This window comes from Homo sapiens, chromosome 2 (genome assembly GCF_000001405.40).
Source record: "Homo sapiens chromosome 2, GRCh38.p14 Primary Assembly".
Classification (NCBI taxonomy): domain Eukaryota; kingdom Metazoa; phylum Chordata; class Mammalia; order Primates; family Hominidae; genus Homo; species Homo sapiens.
Genome location: NC_000002.12, coordinates 168,019,917 through 168,044,307, shown reverse-complemented (window position 1 = coordinate 168,044,307; position 24,391 = coordinate 168,019,917). Strand labels below are relative to the sequence as shown.

Here is a 24,391-nt window from a genome sequence, read left to right as displayed (position 1 = left end):
AATCTCTACTATGTTATTGGTGTTGAAACTGTAGAAAGGTCCATTAAGTCTAAGGTTACCTTAAAGGGAGGTTATCTCTGCTGTTAAAGTGACAATACCCGTGATATACTCAACAGTATTGCAAGGATCTTCCCCTTTCTCTCAAAAGTCAGCTATTGTTATTTACTTGTGCTGCTGCCTACTTCATGAAAAAAAGGAGCCATATAAAAGTGATACATTTTAACATGTTGCAGAGATGAACAAGGGCTTTCACACAACCTCCCCAGAGAAAGGAATAATAATTATTTTGATAAAGTGCTGTTCTATTTGAGAGGTTGCTTTCCTCTAGCTAAATCCTCAATAATAATGCCTACATCTATTATTGTTCTAATATAAAGAATTGCGAGTGTAGGGAATTATTTTATATAAAGAGATTCTCACTCTAGGGAATTTCTATACTGGATAATCTGCAGCCTCCTGAGTGCAAATAAAAAATGGAAATTAAAATCCTCTAGCTTTGAAGCATACATAATAAGGCTGCTGCAAGTACGAAGTCAGAAATTGTGAGATGATCAAAATCTTCACAGAGTAATATGTGCTAATGACAAAGTTCAGGTCAGAAACCAGGAAAAGAATTGAGAAAGGGCTATGGTTGTGTTAGCAGCCTCCTACATCTTTGTTGGTGGTCAGAAATTGTGCCTGTGTTGTACTTCTGAGTTAGTTGTAACCTATTATATTCCTCTTTGCTGTGTCACTCCTGCAAGGAGAATTTGCAGAGAAAATTCACATTTGCATTGCTTCTGTGTTTTAAAATTTAGAAGCAGCTGCAACATGATTTAATCAAGTAGGGAAATATCGTTTAACTACATTTTGGGGGTTGTTTGTTTGCCTTTTTGCTGTATATACACACTTAATTGATTCTGTTACTGGGGTTTGTATTTATTTTCAATTTAAAAATTAGGAATCATCAGCCTCCAGATTACTTGCCTCTATTAGTTATTGATGAGTGATTTTTTTTTGCCATCAATGAGTAATAAATAGAACACCTCAGATTAATTAATTCCATTTGTTGAATTGACCTTTGTTTCAGACACTGTTCTGGGGGTATAAAATGAATAAACCAAGTTAAATGATAAAGGAAAACATACTCTGATTGCTGAGTAAAAGGTGGGCTTTGAACTGTATTTTGTATTCATAGCCGTCAGTCAGGTAGTTGAAGATTGACTGGGTAAAGTTGGGCGGTGGGGACGGAGGGGCCAGGTAGATAATAGTTCTTAACTGTGGGTGTTAGGGACCTAAAAACTCAGATTAAGCCTGTAGCTTCCCCCTCCTGCCCCTACCAAATACATATTTAACATTTACATAGTATTTTGCAGGTGGTTTAGATAGGTTTACTGATCCCCAGAAACCCATCTATGGACCCTGCAAAGCTCCAAAATTAGAAGGAAGGTGGCTGGGTGCAGTGGCTCACTCCTATAATCCCAGCACTTTGGGAGGCCAAGATGGGTGGATCACAAGGTCAGGAGTTCAAGACCAGCCTGGCCAAGATGGTGAAGCCCCATCTCTACTAAAAATACAAAAATTAGCTGAGCATGGTGGCAGGCGCCTGTAATCCCAGCTACTCGGGAGGCTGAGGCAGAGAACTGCTTGCACCCAAGAGGCAGAGGTTGCAGTGAGCCAAGATCATGCCACTGCAATCTAGCCTGGGTGACAGAGCGAGACTCCATCTCAAGAAAAAAAAAAAAAAAAAAGAAGGAAGGAAGATAGAATTAAGATCCTTCAAACCTGTTGTTACTGTTTTTCCAGGAATGCCCAGACTCCATTGTAACCCCTACCTTTGAACTGGGCTAACCGGACTTAAATAGGAATTGTGCCATAACCTATCTCTTTGTTGTTTTTAATATACAAAGTAACAGTAGAAAGTTAGGTTGAGTATGAAGATGATTTTTAAAGGGAGGGCTTTTCCGTAGAGAGATGGACAGAGAGATACCCTAGAAATATTTAGAGGAACTGAAAGTTGAGTAAGCATTGATGTAACCACATGATATAAATGAATGATTTATTTTTACCTTGCCTTGTTCCAGAGAAGATTTAAGGTGACTTACAGTATGAAAGCATAAAGTAGGTGAAGTAAAATGAAGCTAAAATGAGATTTTAAAAATATCTTGAGAGTGGAAAGAGAATTGGGCAGGGAACCCAGAGTGATATAATTACAATCACTGAGAAGAAAATTTAGCCTTCAGCTTGTTAGCAACCAGGAAATTATAGTTGTCTATTTAGTCCTCCTCTCTTGACAAAAGTAGACCTATAGGATTAAAAGATTATATAGCGAGGCAAGCTTTTGCTTGATACCAAATTCAAGTGGAATTTATCTCTTGGTTCTTTCTATAAAGAACCTTGGATAACATGGCAGAGAGCTTGACCTACTGTTGCAAAAAATGTTCTTGAGTTATTTTTTCTTAGATTGACACTCCTTAGAAGTCAAGGGCTTATCTTCATTGAATTACAGCATACAACATAAAGTAATTTCTTCAGAGCCTAAACCAAGTTCAGGTCTGTTTTCTTTCCACTGATCAACTCTGAGAGAAGATCTTGAGCTTAAAGTTAAGGAAATGTTTTTAGCAGGGAAAGAATAGCAGTTAGTCCAAGTTAGGAGTTCTGACCACCATCTAAAGTACCCATTTGCTGTATGTTGACTGAAGGGAATTCTTAGGTTTACAGATCAGATGAGTAACTAGCAGCATTACCATTCTCATTGGAAAATTCAAAAATCTGATGTCACTTAGACAGACGAGCCTCCACTTGCAGACATACTGTAGAGAAGGAACTTTGGGGATAGATCATGCATTTTTTTTTTTAAAGAGCCAATAATTCTTTCCCCAAATATACAGTGGACAGCATACTTGTAAACCATACAGTATAGGAGAAGTGATATTAGCCTGGGCAAATTACTTTTCAAGTAGGTGTGATCAATGGCTTCCTTTCCCATAAACCTTGTGTATCCTTTGGAACTTTTATTATTTTAAATAATATAATAATATTTTATAATAATAAATAGAATAATATTATTAATACCTCTCCAAGAGTTGGACTTTAGGAGTTGGAAGGATTGCATATTTTTTAATTATAGCAAATATTTCTCACCAGCAATAATATTAGTTTTAGCATATTAATGTTAAACTTGTTAAAAACACAGCTCCTCCTGGACACACCTGCTGAGGTCAGATCCCATGATCTTCTCCCTAGACGGTAAGCTCCAAGTGGGCAAGGACCAGGTCTATTTTGTTTACTTCTCTATGTTCCATGCCTCGCACAGTGCCCTTGATTCCCATAATGCACAAAATTTAAAGAGGCATGAGTATGGGACCTGTGTAACTTAATGGGTTAACAGTTCCATGTACTAAAAAAGAGAGAAACGTCACTTTATGTAATTCAGTGACTATTTTTTTAAGTGCTTACTCTATAACAAGGCAGTGCTGTATTAAGTGTCAAGGGAAAAGAACCCTTAGCTTTGGAGAGAAGATAAACATATACAGAGATAGTTTCAATGTTATGGGTTAAGTCCTTGATAGTCCTGGGGTTTCAGAAATATAAACATTTTGTCAATTAAAGGTATGAAGATGCCATATGCTTGTATTACTTCCTTATGAAAATGAAACTTCATATAATTATTAATTAAAGTCTATATTTCACTTAAAATTCTAGGTGAAGAAATCTGGATAAAAAATTTATTGGGAAGGATTTCATGTTTTGAACTGTTGTCCAGTGAGGTTATATGGCAGTAATTTTCTCCAGTAGGGAATTCCTAAAGTTATCCCATTTTGAAGAAGGTATGTATTACATTTTTCATCCACATGAAGAAGATTACACTTGAGAACTTAGCGAAAAGCATTTGTTGAAGCCCATTACTCAGGGCAAGAGCTACCTAATTTTTGTGATTTATCTGCTATGACGCTTTTCAACTTAAGGGTTTATATTTTCCTTTTTTTGTGTAAAAAGAAATACTTGGAACCTATGGTAATTTTTTTGGCATCCTTGTTGATTCAGCCCTTTTGTGGTTAGTTTTTTCTTCCTTTATTTTTTCTATATCTGTCCACCTGTACATTTATCCAAATATATATATATATTGAGCAACAGTTTTATTCTCAATGTTAGTAATATAAAGATGAACAAGGCAAAAACCACAGCATACAATCGGCTCACTGTGAGGAAGTCATTGAGTAATTTGTAGATCGGAGTGCGGTGTTGACAGGCATTGTAATGTACAGGATGATTGAGGACCAGAGCCCAGAGATGGTACTGAGTTCTACCTAGAGTAGGGTAGGGAGTCTGAGGTAGGGATAGAGAGGCTCAGGGAGGCTTCCCAAGGGAGGCAGTGCCTGAATGGGACATTTCTTATTTGGTTGTATAATATATCAGCAATACCTTTATCTAAAAATAAATTCCTGGGTGGTGAATAATAGGTTTCTTACCTTTCTTTTAGCCTTCTGATTTTTAAAATAAACTTAATTGCAGTATAATTTATATATAATAAATTGCATCCACTTAGTACAGTATGTTTGATGAATTTTGACAGCTGTGTACACCCGTGAAGCTATCACAGTCATCAAGACACAGAACATTTCCTTCTCCCTGAGAAGTTTCCTTGTGTCCCTTTTGCAATCCATTCCTCCCTCCACCTCTGGCAAAGGCAGTCACTGATCTGCTTTTTTTTTTTTTTTTTTTTTTTGGAGACGGAGTCTCGCTCTGTCGCCCAGGTCGGACTGCGGACTGCAGTGGCGCAATCTCGGCTCACTGCAAGCTCCGCTTCCCGGGTTCACGCCATTCTCCTGCCTCAGCCTCCCGAGTAGCTGGGACTACAGGCGCCCGCCACCGCGCCCGGCTAATTTTTTGTATTTTTAGTAGAGACGGGGTTTCACCTTGTTAGCCAGGATGGTCTCGATCTCCTGACCTCATGATCCACCCGCCTCGGCCTCCCAAAGTGCTGGGATTACAGGCGTGAGCCACCGCGCCCGGCCTGATCTGCTTTTTTCAAGCTATGGATCAGCTTGAATTTTATAGACTTTTATATGTATTCATTTGTGTCCATCTTCTTTCACTCAGCTATTTTGAGATCTATTTTGTTGCATTCCCTTTGATTAAAGAGGAATATGGATATACCACATTTTGTTTACTTACCTGATGATGGACATTTGGGGATTTTTTTTCAGTTTTTACTGTTATGAATAATGCTGCTATGAACATTCATGTATAGTCTTTAAGTGGTCTATATTTTGATTTCTCTTTGAAAAATTTCTAGTTGTACAATGGCTGGGTTAGGTGGTAGGTGTGTGTTTAACTTTTTAAGGAGTTTTGCAAAGTGGATTTTCCATTTTACAGTCCCACCAGCAGTGTATGAGAATTCTAGTTCCTCTACATTCTTGTTAATACTTGGTATCGTCAATCTTTTTAATTTTAGCCATTTAAATAGGTGTGTAGTGGTATCTTATTATAGTTTTAACTTTCATTTCTCTGATTAGTGACATTGAACCTTTCTCATGTGTTTCTTAGCCATGTATGTCTTCTGTTCAGATCTTGTTTCAGTATTTTACTGGATTGTCTTATTTCTGAGTTACATAAATTCTTTATATAATCTGAATGTAAGTCCTTTGCCAGATACATATGGATAATAAATATTTTTCTCACTCTGTGGCTTGCATTTTGGTTTCTTAATGGTATCTTTTAAAGAACAAAAGTTTTAAATCTTGATAAAAAATTTAAAGTATCTTTTTATGATTTGTATTTTCTTGTATACTATTTAAGAAATCTTTACCTATCTCTAGGTTGCGAAGATTTTCTTCGTTTTTTTCCTATGTTTTCTTCTGAGGGTTTTTTTTTTTAAATCATTTTAGCCTTTACATTTAGGTCTATGGATATTTTAAGTACTTTTTGTGCAGTGGTGTAAGGCAAAGGTCAGTGTTTTTTTGTTTCCTTCCAGATACACACTTGTGCCAACCCCATTTGTTAGAAGATCTGAACATTTGTAATAAGTTTTATTGTCATAATAAAAGAAACACTTTTTCGTGGGCTTGGGGGGATGCAAAAAATAAACTCAGAGGTAGTCTCCTACCTAAGCAATACATGTATTAACATTTTGTTCTTTCTTCCAAGCACTTTCTCCAAGTTTACATGTGTGTTTTTAATTATACCATAGACTCGGCTTTGTATCCTAGTCTATCTAACTATAGGTAACATTTCTCCAAATGTTTCAGATTTTCAACTAAACCACACCTATTTCACTCTGTGTGTTTGTTTGTCTGAATCACTGACAAAACACATTTACATAGTTTAAGTTTTAGTTCAATTCTCTGCCTTTTCTTTTAAGTCTTTTGCTCAAATGATGGTGAGTCATTACAGCACAGCTTCTGTTTCAAATATTAGTGGATCTTATTAAAGGAACTCTTTCCCCCTCATTATGAAGGTAATATATGTTCATCAGAGGAAATTTGAAAATGCAGAAAGTTATAAAGAAGAAAATGATTACCCATCGGACCATCACTCAGGAATGAGCATAATTAACATTTTGGCATATTTCCTTCCATTTCTTTTACTTTGCATATATTTTTTATTGTTCCCATTATACTATATGTGCAGTTTTGTGCCATGCTGTTTACACTTAAGATTGCATCTTATGGTTATTTTTCTTAGGATGATTGTATCTTGTGGTAATTTTTACACTTAGGATTGCATCTTGTGGTTATTTTACTGTAGTTTATTTAAGTGTCTTCCTATCACTGGAGACTTAATTTGGTTCCAGATTTTCGCCACCATAAACAATGACCTAAAAACTGGTCTTATACAGATAACTGTCAGATTTCTAATTATTTCACATCATAGATCATTGATGTTGAATTATTAGGTCAATGGGTAGGTATAACCCTCTTAAAAATTTGGAAACATTGCCAAACAACTCTCTCAAAAGCTAGTATCAATGTATACTCTTGATGGCAGTGAAGAAAGCTCTAATAGACTGAATTATTGCTATCATTTGGTTTCCTCTTATCATTTTGTAATCTTTGCTAATTTAAATTGGTAGATTAGAAAGTAGTGATTGAATTTTGTATTTTGCATCTTTGCAGAGCCAAATCTCAAAATACCCAGGTGGACAAAGTGAGGGAGGGCACAGAAAGACCTTTTGGTAGTTACAGGGTTTCCACGCCCAATAAAATAACTCACTCTTATATAAAAAGACATTGATTTTTCTATTTTTACTCTAAAAGAATTCACACCATGTCCCAAAATGTTCATTAGTCGTAACAAAGCAAGCCTAAGGCTTTCCCTTGAAATGAAAATGTTTATTATAATAGCAAAGAAAGAAATTAGGTTATTCTGAACGTATTTGTTCTTAGTGATTACCTGCTGAAGTCCAGTGGTGATTATTTTCTTTTTCGAGTAACTCTCAAATTATCCCTTTATAATGAAATGCTGAGGAGCAGCCTCTTCCTACAAGTCTCTCTGTCTCTTCTCCTTTCTCAACCTCTCTCTGGAAAGACTTGGAGCATGCGCCTACCCTCACCCTTGCTCTATCATTAAGCTCTAGGAATCCTGTTGCTACGTTTCCTTACTGGCTTTTAGAAAGCAGAAGCAGGTATCTGAGTGAAGCCCTTGACTTCTGAGCATGCAATGGGTGCTGCTCCTCTGAACCTCATCCAGCCAGAGATATCTAGACAAGTCTGAAGCTCTGTGTTGCCTTCGACCTTTAAAATCTCTACTCCTGAACCTATTGTCTAATTATATGGATAAACATTTTTAATCTTACCCAAAAACAGTAAGCTCATTTCTAGAGAGAGCTTACAAGAGCGGTTGAACTGCTATCCTTTTCTCATCCCTAGAGCCAGAATGAAGATAAATTAGGTTTATGTGATGCCAGGCAGCAGTCAGTAATGTGGCACCTGTTTTCCTCCAAAGGCACATCATGACATGTTTCTGACTCTGATGGAGTCCTTGTAGTATATCCTCCCAAAGGTTAAAAATGAATAGAGTGATTGGGGGTCAGGAGCCCACTGCCTTAGCCTTCTTCACCAGCTTTCTCATCTTTCAACCATGGCCAGCAAGTTTTTTTTTTTTCCCTGTATGGACTCACAGTACTGTGGTTTTGGTATTGGCGCCCACGCTGATTTGGGCTAATCCCAGAGAAAAATATATTGAGTTATGCATTTTTCTTTGGTAAATCTGGCCATGTCTGACTTAATGTAAGAAATCTGCAAAGTAACATTGAAATTCCTCAGTCATTCCTCTCCCCTCCATCTTTGACAGACTCACGTATTCGCTGTGTTATACATTTATTTACCCGTTAATTTTAGGAAATGTGAAGGCTGGGAAGTCTTGGTTCTCTTACTGCTTGCTTTATAGTATAAGTGTCTCCTTTGTGCTTACAATGTGTTATGTTCGAGGAGAGGGTGCTGAAGAAGGAGAGTGGCAGGGTGTGATGGCGTAGGGATTTTGTAGGTAAAGAAAGAGGCATTCATGATTTCAACAGCTAAGATGAGAATTATCTTAAGGACAGCACATTAGACACCTTTTTGCTCACCTTATCCTGCTCACCCACAAAGTTTCCTTCCAGCTCTGAATGCCATGATTGATCATAACCTTACTGAGCACAGTCAGTATGGTACTTTGTTTCTATGTGGTTTCTCTTTTGGAGTCCTAACACATTGCCTTGTGCTAAGTATTTGCCCTGTATGTATCTGAGCCGAACGGTTTTTCTTCTTTCATTTTTAACTCACCCATCAGTGTAACATGTCTTACTTCCTAGATGGACTTGATCACGTCTACCTAATTAAATGTCCTGTTAGACATTCTGCCGAAGTTTAAAAAGGTACAGTTTGTATATATTTTTACTTATGTTATTTTTGTTAGAGAAAGGGAAGGAAAAACTAAAATAAGATAAAATTCTTTGATTTGCTTTTAATAACTACCCTTTGGGATATTTTAGAATTGAAGTAGTAGCTATATATTTGTTTTTAATTATTATTCTAAAATTGAAAGGAACTTGTAAGCAAGCATGTTGGTGATGACGTGTCAGGTGCTGAAGTGAAATTGAATCATCTTTTATGTCCCAAGCAAAGCAAGAGCACCATCACAAACATCCTTATTTCCATCTTTTAAAACCCCTCAAAGGCAGAAATCTTTTTTCATTCATAACCAGTCAAAAGCATGAACAACCCTTCTGGATACAGGAGGTTCCCAGGCCAACCTCAAATCATTAACGACCAACTTTGATATTGGTTCCAAGTCTTTCAAATACATGGCGGTTTGGCAGTCAGATACAAGCTCTATTTTTGTAAAAAGCCTTTTCACTTCTCTGTTCAGGTCATTTTTAAATGTTTTATTAATGACCACATCAACAGGCTGAAGGAGGTCACTATTGCTGAGATGCAGATAAAAATGAGTATTATGGTTTTTTTCTCCCAGTTGGCTCAGTGGGAAATCCTATTAGTGCTCTAAGAAGTTATATAATTAGCATGGCACCCGCTGCTCGTTTGTTGAGCCAAACTGGTTTTTAATGTTCAGAATACAAAACATGGCAGGGCCATCTTCATAATGCTCTGTGCTGTCACTGGTTGCCAGGAGCGTTTCTGCGTGACCGATCCATAATAACAGCAATGATGAGAGCCACAATTAAATAGCACCCTGTGTTTGGAGCACTGGTCCTTCAGGTATCCCTTAGTCCAGTGAGTTCCTGAATGCTGGAGAGTGTGTAACATCAGTGCCATGTGTGCTCTGTCTTCTGGTGCAGAGGAAGAGAGTTACCAGCAATGGTGGCCAGCCACTGGCAAAATGGGTGCTTTTCTTCCATCCCTTTTTTCGTCAGAGACTTCCTCTGATTTGACAGGATCACACACTTTAAGCATGTTTCAGTCTTCTATATCTTCTAACTTCACATGAACTTGGCTCTTTGATTTCACCAAACAAAGCCATTACTTTAAATTTATTTATAAGGGCAACAATTATTAGCTGGATTATCAGAAAACTTCTCAGATTCTCATGGGCTTGTTTCACTCCCTGACAATTATCAAGGTAAGTCAATCCCAGTCTCTTTGTTTCAAACCCCAAGCCAGAGTGTCAGTCTCCACCTCCACATGGTCAGGGCCTGTTTACTCAAGCAATGCTGGGCCGCTTGAGGACATGCAGGGGCCTGCCTCCCCCAAATCTTGTTATGTATGTTGGGTTCATTGTTAGCAGCTGCTGTAGGACTCAGTGGAGGATTTGATACCTACACTCTTGTTTAGGATAGGTGAAGGGATGAGACAGAAAAGATCTCAGGGCAGGGACTAAGATTGGACTTGTAAAACACAACACCTAAAGATTATACATATTGCTGTTGATGTTTTTTCACTAATACTGAGTGCTTGCAGAAGGCACTGTCCATGCCTTCTCCTCATAGTTATGCCATGAAGTAGTTCGTGTCACTACCTTATTTTATAGATGAAGAGAGAAAGACTTGGAAAGTTAAGTAAATTGCCCCAAGGTCTCATAGCTCGTCAGTGTTACAATCCGTATTTAAACTCCAGAATGTTATCTCCAGAAACCAAGGTAGGACAGGCTGAGTCGGCCTAAGCAACCAAGTACTTTGTGCTCTCCTTTGACTCCTCTTGATGAAAGGATAGGAAAGGAGTCAGAAAAGAGGCTGTTACAAGGAGTTATGCTCCCCTGCCTTCTCTGTTCAAATAAAATAAGTGTATTGTACACTTCAGAACAGCCTGAAACTCAGTGCACAGGTGGCTCAGGAACAGCGTTTTAGAGCCATAAATGTAAAGCTTTTGTAGCCATCCAGAGCTCTGCTACATATACCAAGGCCAGAGTAGGCCACAGCTTCTATATATTGAGTCTTGTCTGAGCTGAACCCACCATCCCAAATGTTGACTGTTGGCTCACTGCTCAGGAGGAATAGTTTCGTAGCCGGAAGTCTCTTCAATGGAACAGAGCCCTTTACCTTTCTTAGATTTTGTCCTAATGCGATATTTCCTCTATTGAGCATAGCTCTGACCTGCAAAGCACCTCAAATGCTCTCAGCCCAGAAACTCTTTTTTTTTTTTCTTTTTGCTGGTGTTACTTGAGTGTTTATTAAGGGTTAAGGTTGCTGACTTCCGTACCTAGAAATGTTGTCAAGTATACTTACATTTAATATACTGCCATGCATCAGGTAAGGACGACTATTGTATCCCTTGATTCAGTTCAACTTCATGAATATTTATTGGGAATGTACTTATGTTGGCAGACCTGTGCCAGGTTCTTTAGGGGAGAGAGACTACCCAACATCTTAGCTCCTCTGACCCATCTCTTGAATTCTGTGTATTTGCCAAAAAGGCTTATAACTGTTAACCTTTACCATCCTTTTATTTTTCAAATGAACATTCAGCAACTCGACTTCTTCTTAAACCAAGTAATTTTCTTAAATTAAAGTTGACAGAGAATCAATGGTTATTTTATTTTGCCTCAGACATAGAGGAAAGCTCTCCTATATGTTACCCATCGGGGAAAGGGCCCTCTTATCTTTTCCTTCAGAGCTTCTTTCCTCTCTCCAGTCGCAGGGGCACTGTTTTTTAGGTTTTTGTTTTGCTTTGTTTTTTTGTACCTCCTTTCTGAAAAGCACGTCTGTCACTTTACTGTGAAGAGGCAAATAGCAGGTTGTTTGCAGGATGCACTGTATATACACTTCTGAAGAGTGAGAACTTGTCTTTGTCCAGCCTGACATCCTTTATTAAATTTTTACTCAAGAGGTCAGGAAAGATAAGCTAGTCTTAAAAACTTGTCAGAAGTCAACGGTTTAGGTAAAGGACAGTCATTGAAGAAACCATTATGAAGGAAATTGTTGGGTGTATCTTTTTCATTAGTTATTCTTAGGTATGGAAAACACATTACCCCCACAGTCTTGTTAAGTCCTTAACTTGGTGGTACAGTTACACCCCTGGGTGTTGCTTATTCAACATTCTCAAAGAACAAGTTTTTCAAATCATCCAAATGTGAGTTATGGCTCTAATCATACAGATTCCATGACTCATACACAAAAATCAGCTTTATTATTTGATAATCACACGGCATGTGTTTAAACACTGAGGAAAATGTTTTGAGCGTTTGAAATACGATTACATATTATACCAGTCTGCTTTTAAGTCTTGTCCTTGGATATATCCTTCATGGTGGAGTTGACATTGCACCATTGAAGACTATATTTCATGAATAAGCACAAGGGTTTTTCTACTTTTGGCAAACTTCAGGTGCTTGGAAATTTCCAATTAGGGTGGCTGGTATCTATGCCAAGTGATTGATTTCATTTTATTTACTTTATTTGGAACCGTTGAAGGGATGATGTCTTCCCAAACCATTGTAATAATGAGTGGTATAAGTTAGTGTTCCAGAGGCCGAGAACAAATTTAGTTTTTACCAAAGGGACAAATGTTGACTTTTAAATATTTGTCAGAATCAGATAGTATATTAGTTTGCTAGGGCTGCCTTAACAAAGAACCACAAACTGGGTCGCTTAAACAATAGGAGTTTATTTTCTCATTGTTCTGGCGCCTAGAAGTCTACGATGAAGCTGCCCAAAGGTTTAGCTTCTCCTGAAGTCTCTCTCTATGGCTTGTAGAAGACCTTCTTGCTGTTCTTATGTGATCTTTCCTCTGTGCGGGCACATGTCTGTGTCCTAATCTCTTCTTATAACGACACCTGTCCTGTTGGATTAGGGCCCACCCTAATGATCTCACTTAACTTTAATTACCTCTTTGAAGACCCTGTCCCCAAATACGGTCACATTCTGAGGTACTGGCTGTTAGGCTTTCAACATGAATCTGAACTGTGTGTTCAGCCCATAAGAAATGAGAAGGGAAAAGGCTTCATGTGGTGGCCACTTCTCAGGGCCACTCTGTGTTAATAAGAGTTGTGTGGGCAGAACAGCAGTGGGGCTTAAGAAGGGGCATCCCTGGGAAGCAGATAAGGCTGAGCTTCAGATTTCCCTTCTCTTACTTGAGGGAATCTTCAGATTTAAAAAGAAAATAGATTTTGTAAAAAACTGACCTGGAAACAGTGTCAGGTATTTGTCGTCTCTTTAAATACTGTCATGCAAATCATACCCCTTCTGGTACCCTTGCCCTTCTGGGAGATGTCACCCTAAAAGGGGCTTTCCAAGCTCTGCTCTCAGCTTTCAGGCACCCACTCCGCTCTTCTCCAGGGCAGGCCAGAGGAGTTTCAGTCCTGTGAGTGTTAGTCATTGGAGAACCATGTAACCCCAACCTCCAAAAACAAGCAGATGCATTTTTTCTTTCTTTTTGCCTTGAGAGAATCTTTGGATTTTTGGTTTGTTTAGACATTCTGCATGAAAAGTCCTGTCCTCATCCGGTCTCCTGGCAAGTGTGCCCTGATGTATTCTCGTGCATGGATGTTTCCTTCTGATATACATTAACAACCTAGCAAATGCCTAGGAACAATGTTACTTTCTGTGCAACTATGTATTTTATAAATAATCATTTGCTGAAGTAATTTCAGAAAAGTTGAACTTGAGGATTTATAGTGGCTCTGCCCAAGGGTCATTCATCCTAGACTGTAAATGCAGTTACTTACAGGCCTTTTACCTGAAGTGGATCAAAAGGGGAAATACTTGCTCCATCTCATTCATCATCAAATTTAATTATCTTGCAGTACCACCTGTGGAAAAGTCAGGGGGATTCTGCTTACATTTCTACCCTGGAGGACACTGGCGTTAACACTTCTTATTAATTAGTTCTTCACAGTTTTTTCCTTTGATGAGTGATCATTTTCCTTTTAAATTTGCTAATCTTTAATATAATTTCCCCTGGATTCGATTACACATATACATTAATAGTAAAATTACAGGAATAGGAAAATTAAAGTATGTTTCTATTTCTGTGATTTCTTGGCTAAAGTTTAAAGAATGTATTGTCTGCTCACTTTATATTTTTTGTGATTTATGCTGGTTCTCTATGGCTAACTCACTTGATTAATCACACACATCTTTAAAACTTTTAAGCAAAAAAAATTACTTCTTCCCTATTCTGAAGCAACAAAATTGGGAGATTATTATTATTATTTTGAGACAGAGTCTCGCTCTGTCACACAGGCTAGAGTGCAGTGGCTGGATTTCGGCTCACTGAAAGCTCCGCCTCCCAGATTCATGCCATTCTCCTGCCTCAGCCTTCCGAGTAGCTGGACTACCGGCGCCCGCCACCACACCTGGCTAATTTTTTGTATTTTTTAGTAGAGACGGGGTTTCACCGTGTTAGCCAGGATGGTCTCTATCTCCTGACCTCGTGATCCGCCCACCTCGGCCTCCCAAAGTGCTTGGATTACAGGCATGAGCCACCGCACCCGGCCCAAAATTGGGAGATTTAGCTGAGTACATGTCCAAGGTGTTGGCCAGACACAGAACTTCCTTTGGAAGTTGCCACATCCAGCAACCCACTCTCTTAGGTGTTAGCCACCAGCTTTCCAAGAGAGGACATAAGCCAGTCTCCTGCATGTTCATGGCAGAATGTTACTTCTGCTTCCTACAGATGGTTTAGCTAAGGGGAAAGATCTATGTCTAATCAGTACATAGACTTTCAGACCCCTTCAAATACCCGTCGGAGAAAGCAGTCATGAAATCGCCCTTTGTAGCACTTGACAAGACACTTTTGGGGCCTCAGGAAGAAGTGTGTATAGGCGATCCATTTCTCCAGGTTCTTTGAGCTCCCTCTGTTGAGGTAAATCATCAGTAAACAATGTGCTTCTGATGTATTATTTCAGCTCCCAGCAGAAATGCCATCACTCAGGCAAGATTTAATATTGTGTCTTCAGCACCTGGGAGAAAAAAACTTTCATCGTTTGCACCATATGGTTGAAGACATTTATATGAAAAAGGCTTCTGTCTTTTGTAACATAAGTTGAAGACATTACTCAGTGTCCCTTATAAAGGGTCTTCCATAATAAAATTTTCCCTGAAATTAATGCCAAGATAAACAAAATCTGCCTTGCATGTTTCTCTTTTGATGAAGTTAGAACTATACTATGCAACAGTTTCCCTTTTCTGCCTTAGTTTCAGGCAAGTAAAGCTAAATCCGGTGCTCAGTTGGAGTAACTGACATCTCAAGTATGTACTAATGTCTCTTTCTGCATTCCTTTTAATTAATGTCTGTTATTTTTAACAACAAAATGTTCAGTTATATATTTAGTTTAATTTTGAAACTATTTAACATCCTTCTTGCAAGAATTAAACCAAATAACTAGTTGGCAAAAACCATAATTGTCCTTAATAGTTAGAGTTTGTAACAGTTTGTGCCTTAAAGATATAAACTTCTATTGTCTTAAAAATGCATTTATCTCAGAATGTACCAATGTGTGCAGCTCCACCCACCTCGCCATATACTGTTCAGTTTGTATAAATACACCTACTAAGACATGATGTCTGGGTCCCAAATGGACACATATTAGGTTCATGTCTTATAGATGCCTTTACATTCCTGTTAGAAAGTACTTAGCGTGTTGGTTTGGGAGCCTCATGCATGGGAGAGAGGTATACATCACAGAGACAATGATGAGTCTGTGAGTTCTCTGCAGTAAAACCCACCACACCCTAAACTTAAAGGCACAAATAATGTTAATGAAGGCTGGTCCTGTATCAGTTGATTGAAAAGAACAGTGATCTACAGAGATCCTTACATAGTGAGCATGATTAACATTTTTTCCTGCTACAAAAAAGTGTGAACTTTGACCAGACTATCATGTTTCTGCTCCTACCTGCCATTAACATGAGTCTGGTATTTATATGATTACTCCTTTTCCCCTTTGCCCCATAAGTGAAAATAAGTTCAATAAATATATTCACTAGACATCCTAAATGCTGAAAAGGACTGCTTGCTACATGTGACATTATAGTTCCATAATCTTGACAGGAAGCAGCACCCTTACACAATGACCTGTTCTCTCCTGATTTACTATAGCTGGGATGTAACACAAGTGACTTTGTGCTGTGTAGGTGAAACATTCTTAAAATTTTATGTATTCAGCTCTGAAGTAAATATGACAAAATATTACCATTTTTAAAATTCTGGATGGTAGGCACATGTGTATTCATTGTATTACTCTTTGCACATTCCTGTATGTTGAAATGTTTTTTATAATTTTTGAAACTATTATGTAATAGAGAAAAAAAAAGAGTCCACCATGGTTGTTTAGGTTGAAGAGTGGGTAAGGTTAGGGAGAGGAAACAGCCATGCCCTTCACCTGGCAGGCATGGAGATTTTCCAGAGGTTTCTGTCAGAGAAAATCACCTTAACTTAGTTTGGATTACTTCTAGATGAAAACTCTTTTTCGTAGCTAGGGAAGAAGTCTGTTATTTATATTTCTGCATGCGATTTATTCATGTGTCAGCCCTGGACTGAGTATTAGAGATCTCTCCATGAAAGGCTGACATGTGTGCACTGCTAGTGTCGGTGTCAGCTGTGTGAAATCCTATGCAGCCAGACTGTTTGCTCCCTGCAGGCCGCAAACCTAAAAGGGTCCTTCAGGCTGTCAGGTAGCCAGCGGGAACTGTCAAGAGTCTCAAGCCTGAGGTTCCAGTTGCAGAAGAACCTGCAGTTAACCAGTGTGTGAGGCCAAATTCTTTAAAATATGTTGAGATATCTTATTTGAAGAAAACCTTGTGCGTATTTGTGTATGTGTGTGCTCATGCACACACGTGTGCATGTACGTGTGTGTACATACATGTGTATGTGTACATGCATGTATGTATATCACTTAGTCTCTGCTTTTGTTGTTGTTAAAGGGAACAGTGTGACTTTCTGATCTATCTGACATTGGTTTGGGGCTGTGTGATGCTGCATGGCTTGATGCAGACTAGAATTCCAGATGCTACTAACTACATTTTCTAGGCCAGGGGCATATTTCTGCACGTGTGGAGGTGCACGCTGAAAGGAATTTTCACTTTTTAGAAGACTCACTGATCCAAAAGACACTTTTGCAGTAAGTTAAATGTAAGGGCAAGGGTTTGGAGGGGAGGGGAAAGTATGTGGTTCAGCTACTATTCTCACAGCCTTGGAGCATATGGCCCATGGTGGCTGGAGATACACACATCCAGGAGAGCTTCGATTTCGGGCAAGGCTGTGGGCCACAGTGCTGATAGGTTCAGCAGTGGTTCTCAACCTTTAGAGCCACAGATAGAGGGCACAAACTGTTTCCTTTCCCCTACCTTACCCACCCTCCAACCTCAACAAACTCAGTGGTTCTTTTTTCCTCTAGTATATAATACTTTCAAAAATTATAAAAAACATTTCAACATATAGGAATGTGCAAAGTAATAAATGCACATGTATCTACCATCTAGAATTTTGTGTGTGTGTGTGTAGAGACCAGATCTCACGGTGTGTCCCAGGCTGGTCTCAAACTCCTGGGTTCAAGTGATCTTCCCTCCTCAGCTTCTCAAAGTGCTGAGATTACAGACGTGAGCCACTGGGCCTGACATAGAATGTGTTAAATGGTAACATTGTGTCATATTGACTACAGAGCTGATTATATAAATTTTAATTTCTGCCATCATATCAATCATGGAAGACACTTTCCCGTCTATAGTGCCTCTCACTGCATGCAGCAATTCTTAACTGAGTGCAGGGGTATAACTGGGGGAAAAGTCTTCCTTTTAGAGATTGCACCTCCCCTCACCCTGCCTGCAGTTTGAGAGCCATCAGTCTAGAATAAAGAGCAGTGGTCTAGAGGTCCTGAGTCCCAGGTTCTGTTGTCATTTCTTCCGTTAATGGCTCCTGGCACAAACCTGACACATAGTAGGTGATCAATAATGATTTATGGAGAATGGCATGAATTAACCAGCTGTGTTATCTTAGACAAGCCACTTAATCTCCTTGGCTTCAGTTTCTTCACCTAAAGAATCAGAGAAATGGATTAGGTGACCTCTAAGGCCTCTTTCAGTTGTAAAATTATATGATTCTGTGATTGGACCTTTACCTCGGAGGAAGATTAATTTGACAGGAGTGTGAAGGATGGATCAGAGTGAGAGCCAAGAGAGGGGAATACACCTTTCTCTGAATTAGTTCAAGATTTCCTTCGCTACTAGTATTTTTTAAGCACTTACTTACATTGTTTTTCCCTGTAGTTTACATAAACTGACCATCATTTTCTGCAAAGATCGGAAACTTGTTAATGACTGGAACTATGACTTTTTCTCCCTATTTCTATGTGCCTCAAAATATGAGGCCTAATAATGGCTTATAGCAGTAGCACAGAGTTCATACAGTGTTTTCACACAGCTTGTTAAATCTGCGAGGGAAGCATTATTTCCCCTTTTTACTGCAGAGGAAACCGAATGTTGGAGAGGTGAAGTGGCTTACTGAATGTCATTGCTGGTAAGTGGATTAACTCCAAATTGGGCTCAGCTGACCAGTCTTCAATTCCCGAAGGAGTCTCCAGTTCTGACGTGAAGACACTGCCATAGGAAGGCCCCGGGATGAGCAGGGATACTGCTTCAGAGCAGCCGTCAGCTTGGCCACAGGAAGCTGCCCCTTTCACTTCGTGGCTCTTTTATTTCTGGCCTTCATTTGTAGGTTCCTTCTGTGTATCCTCATATTGCCTAATCTTTTCATGTCTCATTAAGTACAACAATTTTCCCTGAGGGCTGCACATTCGTCTGCCAAGGACTATTCCCTGAATAGCAGCTCCCTCAACCTTTTACAGCCCTTTTTCCTGCTGTTGTATGTCTTTAGCCTTAGCAAAAGCCATGTATACGTGTGTATATGTGAGTGCATGTGAAATACTCTTTACTTATTCAGTCATTTCTTCTCATCTGTGGTAGACGATGGTGGCCTGACCTTGGTCAGTAGCAGTGAAGTTTGAGAGAAACGGATGATACGAGAACTCTTACAGAGGTATAACCTACAGGTCTTGATAGTGGGCCATCACTATCATTTACTGCCATAAGGAGCTAAGGAAGGGAAATGTATCTGAGAGGAAAAGTGATACATTCCGTTTTGGAGATGCTGTGCCTTTTGGTGTCTTTTTGGACATTGCATTGAGAGATACCATATAGGTAGTTGATAATGAATTTTCAGCTCTGGGGCAGTACCTGAGATTGAGTTATGGATTTGGAATTAATCATCAAGGGAGAGAATGAGAAGGGGAAATGGTGAGGGATGGAACATTAACACTGAAGAGACAGCCATACAGAGGTAGAGGAGTGTTTGGGGCACACAGAGAAAGGGCAGCTGGGGGACTGGAGGAGACCAGAAGGAGGTGGTATTACAGAAGCCAGGGAGAGGCACTTTATAAAAGCCAGACTTGTAAACTCTGCATTCATTCATCTGTTCAACAAATACTATCTGTGTACCCAGTAGGCGGGTAAGGGATGTGCACTGGTGAAGATAATGGGTAACATTTTTTAAAGTTCCAGCTTTAGTTCAGCTCTGTTGTTCAGACTGTGATTTTGGATCTATTCTTTATCCTTTCTAAGCCTCAGTTTCCTTGTCTCTAAAATAATAGAGGATAAGAGCAGTTCCTGCTTTAAGAGTTGCTTTGAGTTTGGACTGAGATAACATATGTAAAACATCAAGCATGTCCCAGCAGATAGGAAATGCTGTTGTCTTAGTCCATTCGTGCTGATACAACAAAATACCATAGACTGGGTAATTCGTAATGACCAGCAATGTATTGGCTCTTGGTTCTGGAGGCTGGGAAGTCTAAGGTTGGGGGCTGCACCATCTTAATGTCTTCTTGCTGTGTCATGCCATGGCAGAAGTGCAAAGAGAGGGTGAGAGAGAGCAAAAGATTAAACTCACAGCCTCAAGCGCTTTTAGAATTGGCATTAATCCATTTGTGAGGGTGGCGCCCTCATGACCTAAACACCTCTCATTAGGCCCTACCTCCCAACACAGTCACATCAGGGATGAAGTTTCCAGCACATCCTTTTTGGGGGAGACATTCAAACCATAGCAGCTGTGAATTATTATTTCCCCCTCTCACAGTTGAGGAAACAGGTTACAGAAGGCCAAATAAGTAGTTTGTGGTTTTGAACTCAGATCCCCATCTGCATGGGTCACATTATCTCCTCATCCTGCCCCAGGCGGCCTCCTCGTGTGAAGCAGAAGTATCTGCCCAGCTCACTGGGAGCCACAGTCCATCCATTTCTTCTCCTAAGACTGTGGGGATGGACTTTGGTTTGGTGCCCAGAGTAGGACAAGAGGCAAGCTGAACTAAAAATGATGTCCTGACCAATTCCTAGCTTAGCCTTTTTAAAAGGCCCCCTTCCTACTCCTGATAGCGGGGAGATAGTCCAGGAATTGAGTGTGTGGGTATCCCTTTGAAATTCCCTGGACACTAACAGCTGCACCTTCACCTGGAATTTCGGGTAAAAGTAAGGAAGAAGAGGGCTGTTGATGAGAAATCTTCTGCTGCTTAGGAGCGAGCAGCTGCTCCTGGGTCCCTGGGAAACACTATCCCTGGCACTCTTACAGAGACCCTTGGTGGTGTTGCCAACCTCAAAGCTCGGGGAAATAGTTGCCTTTCATCTTCATTTGAGAGCATCCCTGCGGTGGAGGGTATACAATGCCAGTGACACTTACTGTTTCTGATGCTCTTTGACAATGAGTGGTCTTTGGATTTCTACCGCTTTAATCACATCTGGGTCTTAGAGTGTGAGTGCCCTCATACTGCTGCTGGCATGGGCTAAGAGACGGTAATGTGAGGCTGAAGGATGCAAATAGTTCTGAGCTGGCATTTTGGCTTTGGAGCCCTCCAGGAGCAATAACTCTGTCAGATTGTCCTGACACGGTACATTAAGAGGTGCAGATAAAAGCTACATCCTGTAAAATATATACTTCAATCGCACCTGCCTTCTGCACCTCCACCACTGGGAAGGGATGGGTGTCCGTTCGTGTTCTGCATTACCAGCCTCTTAGCCAGCTGCCTCGTTTGATTGTTCGTTGTGTCACTTGAAGATGAACTGAAAGAACAAGAAGAAAAACTTAATGCACGCCAATCTGTATCTCTGAACTTCTCACGTTAAATAGACATAGCAAAAAAAAAAAAAAAAGTTTGTCAGCACTGAACATCAATTACTAAACATTTTTTTAAAGTCAGGCTGGGCATGGTGGCTCACACCTGTAATCCCAGCACTTTGGAATCCTGAGGTAGGGGGAATCACTTGAGTCCAGAGTTCAACACCAGCCTCAGCAACATAGCAAGACCCTTGTCTCTACAAAAAATTAAAAAATTAGCCAGGTATGGGGGCACATGCCCATAGTTTAAGCTGCTCAGGAGGCTGAGGAAGGAGGATTGCTTGAGCCCGAGAGTTCGAGGCTGCAGTGAGCAACAAGTGTGCCACTGTACTACCTGGGCAACCAAGTGAGACCTTGTCTCTAAAAGAATCCAAAAAATGAAAAAAACGAATTTCAGTTTTATAAGTTTATGAATTGTATTTTCTTTTCGTTAGGTTTCTGTGGCTTTATTTTTCTTTCCCATGATTAATTTCTCCCATGCCTTCAGTCTGTGGGTCTGTGTATCATTTATTTGACTCTTTTTAGTAGATCCTTAAAAAGAACTTTGAAGTTTACCATTTCAGAAAACTTCATCCCCAGAAATCGGTTTATTACTATCAGCAGAAGTTATATTTTATATTTGCCCTCACTAATGAATGGTAATAGACTGAATCTGGCCCACACATTAGTGTGAACATTTTAAAATTAGTATCAACAATTAAAACTATGGAATGTCATATAAAATTTCAAATTTCTTTTTTCTCTGACAAATCTGAATATTGAGCAACATTGAGTCCAATCCTGTCTGGCCATAACCTGCAGGCACTGAATAGTGGTTGTCCCCTTTAGATGGGGAAGAAGCTTTCCAGCTGGCACAGTCCCCACATCTCCCTGGTTATTAATACATTCTGATTTATTCAAAGTTCCTGCAATAGTGCTTACAAATGGTGGGTAAGAGCATAAATGGGTGCAACTTAAATGAAGGGGAATTTCATAATGTGTGTCAAATTACAAATGCATATATCCTTTGACCAAAGAATTCACCTCTAGACATTTATTTTTATACTTGTATTTATGCAAAATGACCTAAGAATAAGGTTACTTATTGAAGCACTGTTTACAATAGTGAAAGATTGGAAACAGTCTGTTCATAGAATGGGAACTGGTGAAAAAAGGCTGTAGCATCCCAGAGAAAACTATGTAGTTATAAAGAAAAGAATGAGAAAACTCTCTACAAACTAACATGGAGAAATTCCAAGATGGTATTATGTTAAAAGAGAGGCAAGATACAGAACAGTGGATATACTATGCTATCATCTGTATTCAATATATATGTATATTTGCTGGTACATGCATAAAACATCTCAAGAAGTATGCACCAAATTCATAAAACACTGATTGCCCCTGGAAGGGCAACCAGGTAGTTGGGTGACAGGAGTGAGAGGGCCAATTTTCACAGAATATTTAATGCCCTATTGTACCTTTTAATTTTTAAGCCATATGATTGTATCACCTACTTAAAAAAAAAATAAATGTCCTTTCTGAGTTCTGTATGTATTTGCATTTTCAGTGCAATGAGCTATAAGAGGCTGTACCTTACCAAATTTAAGAGTTTTTATTTTAAGATTAAAAGGATTTTTAATAAAAATTATCAAAGGCAGCCGAGTGTTGAAACTGTTACTCTCAAGTTTTTATCATTTCCTCTATAAAGTTGCTCAGACTTAGTTTCTGGCCTTAAATCATACCTATTTTCAGCTTCCCTGAAATCAAGAGTGTCCTGTGCCATATCAATTAAAGTAAATGTACTTTCAATTAAAGGTGTTAAGTATGAGTCTGAAAAGATTAATTCTTTATAAAAAGATGACCTTCAGTAGTTCGCTCCAATTAGGCATTTTTCCAACTATATTTCATCTTGATGGGACAAGTCTACTACTCACAATCAATCACTGTGATCTTTTCAAAGGCGAGTATTTTAGGTTCAGAGTCATAAAAAGAATGACTTGACTACGCAGCCTCCATAACTTGAACCACAGGTGATATAGGCAGAGATTATGGGTGTTGGATATTACTTTTTGTGTTATTAATATTTGAAGCATCAGGATATGCATAGTGATATTCTGGGTACAGTTCTTACACCTCTCTTCTCATGACCTTACTAGAATAAATATATTTAAATAAGACTGATGGAAAGGAAGAGAGGAAATGAACAATGACACAAATTAATGTCCAACCAAATTCCTCATTTTTTTCCTGTCATTTTATTATTAAACACATTATAAATACTTGCTTTCCTCATGGTTGTTTTGTTATTGGACTACTTTAGTTTGAAGTGAATCATTGCTCATATACAGCACATAAAACCAAGACTATTAAGGAAATGAATGCTTGGTGATTGTTTTATGAGAACATGCAAAATCTTGGGGAATAACATTGCTTTCTCTTAAAAGTTAAAGGAATTGAGCATTTCTGTTTGTATTTGGTACCTTCAGTATGGAATTATTGGCCTTCACTCTGCCATTCATTAAATTTGTAAACTTGGAGAAGCCATTGAACACAGTCATGGAAAAAATGGAAAACAAATAATACCTCTTTGCATATCTCAAAGGTTAATTATTGGAATTAAATGAGATTATATATGATATATAATAAATGATTATATATGATACATAATCTCATTTAATTATATATAATATATACATATATGTGTATATTATGTGTACATGCATATGTATGTATGTGTATACATTTATATATTAGTGTTACTTAAAATGTAGTCCAGTGACCCTGGGAGTCTTTGAGACCCTTTCAGGGAGCCCATGAGGTCAAAACTATTTTTATAATAGTAGCAAGAAATTACTTGCCTTTTTCACTCTTTCACACATATTCAGTGGAATTTTTAAATTCCTGTGTCTGTAACATTCAACATTGCAACAGCTTGCAGAAACAATTGTAAGATTCGAGCTGTCCTAAGCCTGATATTACAGAGGTTTACAAAACTGTGAAGCAATGGACTCTTTTTCACTGAATTGTTTTCATTTTGAAAAGGAAAGTAATTTTTCATATAAAATTTATATTGACATATAATGGGGTTGTCATTTTCAAATTAATAAATTTTTTTAAATTGTCAATTTTAATTTCTAATATAGTAAACTTTGATAGATATAGTCCACATAAACAAAATCTCTTTAGGGGTCCTCACTACTTTTTAAGAACATAAAAGTGTCCTAAGACCAAAAAGTTTGAGAACTGCTAATATATATGAAAGCACTATGTAAATGTGCAGTGGTGACGTTGGTAGTTTATTAAGAAACTTTGCCAGGCGCAGTGGCTTACACCTGTAATCCCAACACTTTGGGAGGCTGAGGCAGGCTGATCACTTGAGGTCAGGAGTTCAAGACCAG

The 24,391-nt window shown here is 38.8% G+C and overlaps 1 protein-coding gene across 7 annotated transcripts in view, besides 1 other annotated feature; it reads left to right on the top strand.

Moving 5' to 3' along the window:
• STK39 (serine/threonine kinase 39) overlaps window positions 1–24,391 on the top strand; it is a 293,574-nt gene that overhangs the window by 203,288 nt on the left and 65,895 nt on the right. Inside the window, exon 15 of one of the 7 annotated variants that reach the window (XM_017003814.3) lies at window positions 8,774–23,595. The exons of the other annotated variants lie outside the window; for them this stretch is intronic. Within the exon in view, the coding sequence (XP_016859303.1) occupies window positions 8,774–8,783 (10 nt within the window). The 3' untranslated portion in view covers window positions 8,784–23,595. Of the gene's footprint in view, window positions 1–8,773; window positions 23,596–24,391 lie in introns of those variants that run through there. 7 annotated transcript variants of the gene reach the window in all.
• Window positions 13,143–13,192: an enhancer, noted in NCBI's record as "active region_16730". NCBI's record gives its function as "activates an Ori minimal core promoter by ATAC-STARR-seq in GM12878 lymphoblastoid cells {active_cell/tissue: GM12878}" and the evidence as "EXISTENCE:reporter gene assay evidence [ECO:0000049][PMID:35858748]".